This window comes from Homo sapiens, chromosome 17 (assembly GCF_000001405.40).
Source record: "Homo sapiens chromosome 17, GRCh38.p14 Primary Assembly".
Classification (NCBI taxonomy): Eukaryota; Metazoa; Chordata; class Mammalia; order Primates; family Hominidae; genus Homo; species Homo sapiens.
Genome location: NC_000017.11, coordinates 30,259,093 through 30,271,449, shown reverse-complemented (window position 1 = coordinate 30,271,449; position 12,357 = coordinate 30,259,093). Strand labels below are relative to the sequence as shown.

The 12,357-nt window shown below is 39.5% G+C and overlaps 1 protein-coding gene across 1 annotated transcript in view; it reads left to right on the top strand.

Annotated features, from left to right (window-relative positions):
* Window positions 1-12,357, top strand: part of BLMH (bleomycin hydrolase) — a 43,742-nt gene that overhangs the window by 20,495 nt on the left and 10,890 nt on the right. Inside the window, exons 10-11 of the mRNA NM_000386.4 lie at window positions 62-179; window positions 4,496-4,565. Of these exons, the coding sequence (NP_000377.1) occupies window positions 62-179; window positions 4,496-4,565 (188 nt within the window). The remainder of the gene's footprint in view (window positions 1-61; window positions 180-4,495; window positions 4,566-12,357) is intronic.

The window sequence follows — 12,357 nt, the reverse complement described above, 5'->3', positions numbered from 1 at the left end:
CAAAAGCCAGTTTTCCCCATGATCGTACTCCCTTTATTTTGTACTATCATTCTTTTTACAGCTATGACCATGAGTTAGTGTTTGGTGTCTCCTTGAAGAACATGAATAAAGCGGAGAGGCTGACTTTTGGTGAGTCACTTATGACCCACGCCATGACCTTCACTGCTGTCTCAGAGAAGGTATGACCCTCAGCATGCCTGCTGGAGTGTTTGCACAGATGGATCTACATTCTCCTGTAGACTGTTTACCCAACAAAGCTTCATTCATAGTGTATATGATTTCTGTTAAAAGTTAGTTTCCAAGTAAGACATCGTACCTGCGTCACTTGGGGCTTGGCTGCGTGCTTAGAGGTAATATAAAAATAGGAACTTTCTATGAGGAGAATTTGGGTCAGCAGGGAGCGACCAAGTAACTGTTTCTGTAACTTTGGAAGGTCATGGTTTAAAGAGAAGTCAGCAAGGGAACTTGAGAGAAGATAACTTCTACTTTATAAGGAATCAAAATGTGCCCTGAAAGTGTTCATATCTTGATGACCTATGTTCAGATTTCCCTTCATTTGTCATTCAGATTCTTTTGCAGTAAAATGTCAATAACAGTAATTTGTGGACTCCATACCCATTTCTAGTTATATGCAGAGCTTCAGGAAATTGGATGTAAAGTATTTTGAATTTCCTGTGAAATAGTGTGTATAGTAATACCACTTTTTATAGGTTATAGAGTTGGAAACAACTGAAATTTTATCTTTCACAAATAAACTCCTCACTTCCAGTCAGTAAAAATAGATATTTTCACCTCTGTGCTCAGGATCATCAGGAAGGAAGAACTTGAACTACTTTAATTCTTTACCACCACAAGCAAAAATATTCTTTCTAGCCTAATTCCTGGAAAGTCACAGAATAACTACCTTATATAAATTGTTCTAGAAAATCATTTTTTTTTTTTTTTTTTGAGATGGAGTCTCACTCTGTCATCCAGGCAGGAGTGCTGTAGTGTGATCTCAGCTCACTGCAACCTCCACCTCTGGGGCTCAAAAGATTCTCCTGCCTCAGCCTTGCGAGTAGCTGGGATTACAAGTGCCCGCCAACACACCCAGCTGATTTTTTTGTATTTTTAGTAGAAGTGGGGTTTTGCCATGTTGGCCAGGCTGGTCTCGAACTCCTGACCTCAGGTGATCTGCCCGCCTCAGCTTCCCAAAGTGCTGGGATTACAGGCATGAGCCACCGCACCCAGCTAGAAAATGGTTTGATAGAGAATTGTTTTTGCTATCCTATCCACTAGATTTATGATCTTTAAAATGTTTAGAAATATCTTAGCATATCATTATGCCACATTTTCCTAACTAGCCTATCTAAAAGTCCTGATTTGCTTTTTATACTCTATGCAGAATTGTGAGTGGGATGGGGTTTTCTTTCTGTACCTTTTTCTCACCTCTTCCAACTACTTCACTTGAAGGGTGCCCTTTCAACCCCACAGCATCTAAGATCCCTGTGCTCTCTCTGTATTCAAAACTTGGTCTTAAAGGTTTAATTACATTCCTGCAAATTATAAGGCTAGTGCTTTAAGTAGTAGAACTCTGAGGTATTCTCAGTTTTATATGAGATCAAACACAGTATGGTGTAAAGGTGCCCTGAACTTAAGAGGCAGTCTTAATGCTGATACTCCTGATCCTCATGTAGTTTTCATAAATAAATGTAAAGGTTGAGGTCTTGTAAACCAGCGAGCTGTTTTCCTCATTATTCCATTCGTCAGTAATCTCAGCTCTGTAGTTAGCGAGACTCCCACACCAAGAAACAGGTTTTTAGGGTTACCCAGGAGAATGTGTGGAGTATAATTTGCATTACTTATGTAGATCAAGAAAAGTCATTTTAAAACAGCAAAAGGTGATTTAAGTGTTATCACCCCAATTTAACAAAATTCTCACATTTGAATTATAAACAAAACATAAAGTTAGGTTATAAAAGGAATTTTAGACCGGGTGCAGTGACTCACACCTGAAATCCCAGCACTTTGGGAGGCTGAGGCGGGAGGATCACCTGAGGTCAGGAGTTCAGGACTAGCCTGACCGACATGGCGAGACCCTGTCTCCACTAAAAATACAAAAATTAGCTGGGCATGGTGGCGTGCACCTGTAATTCCAGCAGCTACTCTGGAGGCTGAGGCAGGAGAATCCTTTGAACCCGGGAAGCGGAGGTTGCAGTGAGACAAGATTGCACCACTGCACTCCAGCCTGGGTGACAGAGCAAGACTCTGTCTCAAAAAAAAAAAAAAACAATAAATAAATAAATAAAATACATGAAAAGGTTTTTCAAATAAGGGTGCTTTATAACTAAACTAAAGTTCTTTAAATAAATTTTTAAACTATATAGAGTTCTGTTTTGTGTTTTTTTGTTGTTGTTTTTTTGTTTTTTTTGAGACTGAGTCTTGCTCTGTCGCCCAGGCTGGAGTGCAGTGGCACAATCTCAGCTCACTGCAACCTCCACCTCCTGGGTTCAAGCTATTCTCCTGCCTCAGCCTCCTGAGTGCAGGCGTGCACCATCGGCCTGGCTAATTTTTTTTTTTTTTTTTTTGTATTTTTAGTAGAGATAGGGTTTCGCCATGTTGGCCAGGCTGGTCTTGAACTCCTGACCTCAAGCAATCCACCTGCTTCGGCCTCCCAAAGTGCTGGGATTACAGGCATGAGCCACTGTGCCCAGCCGAGAATTTGTTTTGTTTGTTTGTTTGTTTTTAAAAAAACAAACAAACAAAAACTTGTAATTTCCAAGAAAAATTCAGCTTTTTATCATTTCTATCTCTGTTATAGAATACTCCTATTTTTCAGGAATAAAAATAATGAATACCACTGTCATTTTCTTGGGAACTTCCATTCTTTGATTAGCATGGGTTGTTTCCTTAGGAAAATGGAGCTACCTTACATGCTAATGGTATAAAGCAGAATTTATATTATTATACCTGGAATTTTATATTGAACATTTTCTCTTCATTCCACTAGAGTTTTTGATCCCAAAAACGAGTTTGAACTACACTTGAGTAATAGTACAGAGGTAAATGCATACTAGTGGTTATATTTCCACAATTTTCTTTCTTTTGTTGCTGATATCATGGAATCCCTATAAGGGAGTTCCAGGTATTAATCATTTTGTAATTGTAGATGACCCAGAGAACAATTTGATCTAGGTCACTCCAGGAATTCATTGGCCAAGGGGAAAACATAGGAAACATTTTCAGACTTAGAGTAACAAGTAACTATATCACTTTAGGTGACATCGATTCTAACAGTGATATTTAAAAGGAAAGTAAAGTTGGACTACAGTGGGAGGAATAGAAAACCAAAACAGACATATAATATGCCAGCTGCAGAATGTATAGTATATAACGATATGGTTTTAAAGGATTTGGGGGCAAAGAGTAAGGATTAGTACAGGTAAGGGTGTGTGAAACTTGTGAGTTTGTTGGCGCTATTTGTGAGACAGAAAATTACTGAGATCCAAGAAAACTGCCAAGAGTGGAGTGTTTGGGTTAGCAGAGCCAAAGAGAACCAAATCCCATATAGATGAGACTCATCATATAGTTATTTGCAAGTGGGAGTTGACAGATGAAATCATTAGGCGATAATACAGGGGTGAGTGCTCTTCTCATGCTACAAAGATTTAAGTTGCCTTGACATCAGTAAATGTCCTGGGTAAACATGAAAGAAAAAAGTCTTTTCCCAAATGGAGCCTTCCTCTTGTCCCTCTCTGTGTCACTATAGTAAAGGCTGTAAATGAAGGTTGTTGTGATGAGTATCACTGTCCCTTTAAGAAGACCAAAATTGAGCTTATTTTAATAATGAAGATGGAAGAAGGAGAACAGTAGAAGTGCCTGGCTTTTGTTTATGAAAATGGTCTTTTTACTTTTGCTTTGCCATTCAGTCTCTTCTTTGAAATTCAATATTTGTGTAACTGGATCAGTAAAAGAATGCATTTGGGAGAGTATCATTATTTGGTTTCCCCAAGTAGAAAATCAGGCAGTATGATGAGTTTGTTTTGTTTTGTTTAAAAAAGACTCTGACCAGGTTTTAGAATTATTCCTAAAATAAAGTAGGATGCATTTGCTTTAATCAATATTGATTGATTAAAAGCAAGAATCCCCAGCTTCAAATGTTTACTGCTTTTAGTAGGTTAATATAGTTTTTCTTAGTCAAGTAGCATTTTTACATGCCTATTTTATGTATACAATAGAATAGAAAGGATGAAATAGTATTTATTGCTTTGTTAGTTTATTATGTTTTTACCCCAAGAGATTCAAATTCCATTTCTACTGGAGTATCCCTTTAGTGATCGTAGGAAATATATAGCCCTGACCAAGTACTGTTTAGAGCAGGCTGCCTGTATAGAGCAGGCTGCCTGTATAGAGCAGGCTGTTTCTTTCAAGTGGCTACAGAAGAGCTAAAATTATATGACACCTCAGCAGGGAGAATCTGGCTTCAGACTACTCACCATCATCCACTTTTTTGCAGGATGATCAGGATGGTGCTTTCACAAAATGGAGAGTGGAGAATTCATGGGGTGAAGACCATGGCCACAAAGGTGAGCTCAGTTTGGTAATACTAACTCCAGGTGACTGGGCCTGCTCTACTCTGCCTGTCTGGGTGTCAAGCTGCTCTAGTGTGGAGGATTTCTCAGTAATTGGCTCCACTGACTAGATTATTCTACAGAAAAATCTGAGGATCTGATTTGCCCCCAGGATTCTCCTGACCATTATGGCATGCCTGAACTCCCAGGTTGGCTCTGAGACTGCTATGTGCTGCATTTGTTGCAAACTGTGTTGACCCTCCCCTCTTTGTAGACCGCTTGGCTAGTGAGGAGGTTGAGTGCCCTTGCCAGGACACTTGCTATATGGCATTTGATGCATTTTCTTTTTCTTTTTTTTTTCTTTTTTTTTTTTTTTGGACAGAGTCTTGCTCTGTCGCCCAGGCTGGAGTGCAGTGACGTAATCTTGGCTCACTGCAAGCTCCACCTCCCGGGTTCACGCCATTCTCCTGCCTCAGCCTCTGGAGTAGCTGGGGCTGCAGGCACCCGCCACCACTCCCAGCTGATTTTGTATTTTTAGTAGAGACGGGGTTTCACCGTGTTAGCCAGGATGGTCTCGATTTCCTGACCTCGTGATCCGCCCGCCTCGGCCTCCCAAAGTGCTAGGATTACAGGTGTGAGCCACTGCGCCCAGCCTTGATGTATTTTCATCTACTACATCAGTACTCTAGAAAGTCAGAAGCCTTCTGTATGGGAGAATGGGACTGGCAAGAAGCTTTCTTTAGGCATTTATTAGAGACTCCTTAGAAGTTGTCATACCTAAAGTGGAAATGAACACTTTGCTTACCACTTAGCACTTCTTTATACTGGCAAATCAAAACCTAGGGAGAAGTCATAACTTACACTAAGTAGACTAAACAAAATAACACAGTAATATATGAGTTGTAGAAAAATTTTAAAATACAGATAAAAAGTCTCTAATAATCCAACCACCTAGAGATCACTGTTGATTAACAGTTTAGGGTATATTATTGTAAAATTTTGAGACCACATTTTTAAAGACTGTCTTTAGTAATAGCTTTTGAAAGAGATTTTACGCTTTAATTTTTAGGGTTCCAAACCAAAAGTGGCAATCACCATGGCATATGTGTACCTGTGAGCATGTAGATTCATGTGTGCTGGGGGCATTTTATAGCCAGTTCTTTCTCAGAGTCCCTTTTTCTTTTAGCCAATGGATTCTGGCTAGGAAAAACATTAACCGCACCTTAGTAGACTAGTTAGAAGACTGAGAAGAACCAGGTAGGGAAGCCAGAGAAGTGACATTCAGAGATATTTGGAAACAAACTTGAGCATACATTTTACCCAACAGGAATTAGCCAGGCATTTTATTTTTAAAAAAAGAAAGAAAAAGAAATTTTAGCAACTCTTTGTTGTTGCCCCTCTCTGTGTTTAGAATCGTGATTTTCCAGCTATGTTCCTCACAGCCGTAGGATTTCCAAGGGTAAAAGGTAGAGGAGGGGGTGTGGAGGTTTGGATATGAGCATATGGGACTTCCATAGCTCCTATTTGAAAAATTGCTGTTTTAGAAGAGCCTGTTAAGCTGAGTTTTGAACTTGACAGCATTTTAGTATGCTGATTGGGCAGCACAGGCTTGTATGTGATAGCCAAAATCTGAAGACCATTTATTTGTCATTCGAGGGCTTTTCATCTCTCTATGAGAATAATCACTGGTGGATTTTGGCTGACTGTCCCTGGAATATGCTGTGATACTCAGCAGCCCAGTGTTTATATGTAAACAAATACAAGTGCTGTTACTGCATTTCTCTTCATCATCAGATAGTTACATGTCTACCTTCTGTGATTTCTATAATTGTTCTGTGATTTTAGGGGTGCCTATTAAGTTAACTACTACGAATTAGAATACTTTTTAAAATTGGTGGTTTCTTGTAAGGTGAATTTTATTTTAAGACAAATACACATTAGGGTCAAGTAGAGAAGGGTTTAAACCTCAGCAAAGTTAGCAGAGTAAAAATAACTCACAGTTTAGTTATATCTGTAAGTTGGTGATAGTTAAGAGATGGATACTTGTCTTAAAATTTGAAAGATTTGATTATTTCTAGCAAACATAAGATACTGAGTTAAAGTTTTCCTGTTGCTTCCAATGAACCCCCTGCAGCTTCTGTTTCATTTCTGGTCTAATTTGGTTCCTATAATTGGATTTGTTATCATATAGGTTAGCACCTAGGAAAAGAACTAAAGTTATATTTGTTTAGATGAGCCTGGATCCGTCAGCTTGCTGCGATATTTTTCCATCTGTAATAGTCAGTGAGTTTGAAGATAGTAGTGTTATCTGGTTAAGAGAGGATAAACACTTGTAAAATCAGGAAAATGTGTTTTATGTAGTGTGAGTTAATGTCTTTATTATTTTGAACCTAAATACTTAAAGATAATTTTAGGTCACTTTACTGTATATAATTTTTCCATTTAGCTTTACCTCTTTACTTTTACTCAATAAAAGTTTTGCTTTTGCTAACTTACTCATTTCATTATTATGCTTAGAGAACTGTAAAATATGGGATCTTGCTATCCCTGTAACTCTCCTGTAATCCTTCTTAGTGAAATCTGCAGCTATCTAGTAAAGATTAACTTTTTTGTTGTTCTCAAATAACTGAAATGCCTGTGACTATACACAGCAAAGCATTTCAGTAGAGAGCCAAAAGATAAGAAATAGAACTGAAGTGGGGGTAGGGAGTCGTTCATTCAAGCCAAAATAAATTATTCTCATGTGTTTCTTGGTAATGTTCTTTCTAACTTAACAGGAAGGAAGGAAAGAAAACATGATCTAATTTAATTGGCACACTTGGCCTGACCTCAGGAGAGCGCATAGTATGTTATTATGTTGGCAATATGTGTTTATCCCAGCAGGGCCTTCTTGTCTGTCATCCTAGTGGACATTGGCTGGCAGGTCTGAGGTAGGACCTCTGTTTATGCTCTCTTGGGAGATATGACAACCTTAAGAAGCATTGCTGGGATTTTGTTTCTGTAGATAACATTGTTAACAGTTTGTTGCTATTCTCTTTGGGATTTCTGACTGTTAAGATTGATGTTTCTGAAAAAGCAGTGTTGATAATACATGCTGGAGATAAACAGAGCAAAGATACCTGGGCAAGCTGCCTTTCCCCTTTGCCCAGCCCTGGCTTTGGTTCTCCCCATTGGTCATGTTCATGGCTCTCCTGCCCAGAAACTCTTTTGTAACACATAACCTGACTATTCCAAAAATGGACAGAAGGTTTCTTCTGAGCAGGAGGACATAAAAGGAGAAATCAGTTTTTGCTTTACTGTACCAGTTGGATTACTTCAAGTTGATGAATTCTAGTATTCATAGTCAGTTGTACTGAAAATTGGATGCATATCTAACATGTAATACCAACCTGGGTTTCTTTTCTCCCCTGCTTCTTAAAATACTTGACTATCCATTTTGTACCTTGTTAATGGATCATATCAGAAATGAATTTCACAATTAGGTGAGGGAACAGACTTCGGGATTTGATATATTATCTTTCATTTTGAAAAGTTGATAAAAATATTTTATAAAATATTTAAGAATTTAAAATCAAGGAAGTCACCTTTGATTCCTCTCGTTATTAGTCAGAAATTCATCTGAGAAGAGCCTAATCTCTAAGCCAAAGTGACCTGCAGATCCCCTAGCTAGTAAATGATAGAGCCAGAATTATAACCCAGATGGCCTGACACCAGAGCCAGTTTTCTTAACCACTAAACTGTGCTTTCTCTCACCTTCCCTGTTCTAGTAGCATGTCGTCCACTCAAGAAATAACAGGTCAGTTCATGGTCATTGGTGACCAGAAAGAGTGGATGAAGGGATATAAAACTGTATGAAGGACCTGGAGATGTTATGTAAATGTCTGACATTGGGAGAAAAGGCCCCTAGAGCATCATTTGTGGCTGGGAATCTGAGTAAAGAGTGGAGATTGGGGCATTCTGTGAGGGTTTGTCACATGTTAGCACATTGTGACTTAGGCAAGTCAGAAACTATGCAGCCACCCAAAATTTCCCTGAATTTTGTCCATGCTGCTTTATAATAAGGTTATTTAGTTGTTTTTTTGTTTTGTTTTGTTTTTGCTTTTTTGAGACGGAGTCTTGCTCTGTTGCCCAGGCTGGAGTGCGGTGGCGCGATCTCAGCTCACTGCAAGCTTCGCCTCCCAGGTTCACGCCATTCTCCTGCCTCAGCCTCCCAAGTAGCTGGGACTACAGGTGCTCCCCACCACGCCTGGCTAATTTTTTGTATTTTTTAGTAGAGACAGAGTTTCACTGTGTTAGCCAGGATGGTCTCGATCTCCTGACCTTGTGATCCTCCCACCTCGGCCTCCCAAAGTGCTGGGTTACAGGCGTGAGCCACCGTGCCCGGCCAAGGTTATTTAGTTCTTAACTTTTTATCTTGGACAATTTTAAACATATATAAAGTAAACAGGATTGTATTAAAGAACCCTGCATATGCCTGTCACCCACCTTCAGTAGTTATCAATATTCTGTCATGCAAATAATAGTGTATTTGATAGTCAATAAATTAAATTCCTAGATGGTCTTTCTAATGAACCAGTCTTACTATGAAACTTTACTTCTTTGTGATTGGTTCACTTAGTTATGAGATTGTATTCCATTTCTAGAGCCTGACACAGCAGAACTCTAAATGTGGAATTATCATAATATAGTTCTTAATGCTTATTTGGTCCAGTTTCTCAATATGATAAGTAACAACTTTTAAGTGAAGATATGGAGGATATTTTCTAATTCTGCAATGTTCACTGAAGGAAAATACTTACCTTTTAAAAATTTTGTCTCTCCTGGTTTTCATTTTGAACCAAGATGAGTTTTCCATTTTTCACATTGCTTTTGTTCCTTTCAGATACATGAACATTTGAAATTGTTTTTAACCCACATTTTTAATCTTTTCTTACAAGTGAGCCTCTCTGTTCCTGATTTCTTTCATTTTAGTAAAATTTTCAGACTTCCTTCTAGAAAGGAGCCTCTAAATGGTTTCAGTTAAAGATACTTTGGCATGTTAGAGATTAGAAAGAAACATGTTATCAATTCAGACTATATGTAGATTTCTGCTGCTTCCTAAAAACCAACATTATGACCTTTAATTGTCTCACCAGCCCAACTGCCACAAGTGATTTTGGAGATGGTATATTCAAAGCTAGGCACAAAAATCAACATATTCTTCATAAAATGCTATGTTGTAGAACCAGGTGAGTTGTGGAGAGACAGTTACTAATAATTAATTCTTGATTTTAGATGCTGGGCAGTAATTTAACTCATTGTAGTGTCACATTTCTATGTCAATAACATGGACAATTTGTTTCTTTATGAGCTCCTACAGTTTGTATGTAGCCATCAAATGAAATAATGTATGCAGGCATTTTTCAAACTGTATATTGTTATATAAATCTAAGGAGTTATGAACAGCCCATATTTCTGTTGGAGGTACTCAGGACATAAAGCTACAGGGCATCTTGCTTCGTGAGAATTCAAAGTTCACTAATGTATTTGTATTTATTTCTCCTCATGACATCAGAGTAGAGTAACTCAGGATGTGAACATGGGTGATTATACCCAGGTTTTATGTGAAGAAACTAAAACTTACTGACAGTTGTGTCTTGTTTGGGTTGCACAGAATCAGAGATAGAATTGGAATTCAAATCTCTTAATTTGACACAGACAGCTTCCCTAAAATTCCCTATGTATTACTTACAAAAGACAATCAGTTATTTGCAGGTCTGTTTGAGGTTCAGTTCTGGATCTCTAGTACAATAATGGAAACTAGGCAATGTTGGGCCAGACTTGCTGAAACAAGAGTGAATTGTAGAACTTAAAAGCACAGGTTTCTGATTTCCGAGAAAGGGGCAAGTTGCAAATTTGTTTTGTCACCTCAGAGGGTTTCATGTCTCTCCAGGCTTGGGAAAAGTGCTGCTACCATTAATCTGGATTCTGGGTTCTTTGATAAGGGCTTTTTGTTGCCGTTGTTGTTGTTGTTGTTGTTATGGAGTCTTGCTCTGTCTACCCAGGCTGGAGTGCAGTGGTGCGGTCTTGGCTCACTGCAACCTCTGCCTCCCAGGTTCAAGCGATTCTCGTGTCTCAGCCTCCTGAGTAGCTGGGATCACAGGTGCCTGCCACCATGCCCAGCTAATTTTTTTTTGTATTTTTAATAGAGACGGTGTTTCACCTGTTGGCCAGGCTGGTCTCGAACTCCAGACCTCAAGTGATCTGCCCACCTCATCCTCCCAAAGTGCTGGGATTACAGGTGTGAGCCATCACGCCCGGCCCTCTCAGAAGGGCTTTTCACCATCCATCTTTATTAACCAAAAAGCCTGCATGACTTTGGCTGAGAAATAGTGTATGTAGATGGAATAGAGGAAGCACATACTCTCCAGTTCACTGGTGCTTCCTGATCAAAGTGTGTGACTAAGAGAGGGCTATCATTATTTGGGCAAGGACAGACTATGTGACAGAGCTCCTAACCTGCAATGAGGCATCTGCTTCAGGGAGAAATCTCCTCATATTGAATGTAGAGTTTTGTGTATAGATGTGTTTTTACCTGTAGATAAGATCTGTAATTTTCACCAGATTGTCTCCAAGGTGTTTGCACTGGTTTAAGAAGGATGGAGGTTAAGCACAGAATCTGGAGCCAGACTGCCTGGGTATGCATCCTGGCTAACCCATCTATTGGCTGTGTAACAGTGGTCATTGGCATTTAACCTGTCTGAGCCTCAGCTTTCTCATCTGTAAAATAGGGATAATAATTGGACCTATCTCGTAGGGTTGTTGTGAGAACCATGTGAGGCGCATAAGAAGTGCTTAGAAATATTAGCTCCCATTGCTACTGTTGTTAATGTTATCTATAGACTGACGGCAAGAGAACAAGAACATGAAGCTCCCTAACCTTTCCCTTCTAGAGGAGGGCATCTAACTTGCCCCATGGTTCCAGTTTCAGATCTCTAAAAATTCAGTGCCCTAATGTGATCATTATGCTACATCACCAGTGTAGTGGGCAGATGACCCATAGTGTGGGCTTAGTGTCGTGAGAGAAAGCAGTGGAGGTGAATAAACTTAGTGCTGAGAAAAAACCATTAGCAGTAGCATCAACTCACATTTATTTATTGATGGGATGCAAGGAACCGTGCATAGGCCATGGTGGAATGAATGTCTCTGACCCTCAGAGGAATTTATACTTATTCACCTGTGACACAGGAAGGGGATTTGAAGAGGGCTGTGATGTGACAGAAGTGGCATTCATGGTGTGCTCCTCAGACTGTAAGATATAGGATAAATAGACCGAGAAAAGCAGAGAAGGGATGATTTTTTTTCCAAGAGGGCAGTTAACAGAAGAAGAACTAGGGAGTACCTCCCCTCAGTGGGGAGACAATAGGAAGACATGGAAGCTGAGGTGATTGAAAAGGGTGAGGGGTTGGAGAGAGCGCCTAGGAAGCCCAGGACTAGAGGGCGTCAGGAAGAACATGGTGGTAAATAGTGGAACAGCAGAGCAGACAGAAAATGGGTCAAGGAGAAAGGCTGTTGGGTTGGACTTAAGGTAGTTTTTGGAAACTTCAGGAGGGGTCAGGGTGCAAGCCCAGCTGTCCTATTATGCTCCATCAGCAGCATGTCAGTACTTCGTTCTTTCAAAGGCTATGTATAGTGGGGTTGCAAGGAATTGAAGCTGGGACAATTAAGGCTGTAAATCTTGGCCCCATATGGTGTTTGTAACCTATTGTAAGAATAAATATGTAAAACATAAACACAAGAATAAGCGCAGAGTCACACACGGGATAAA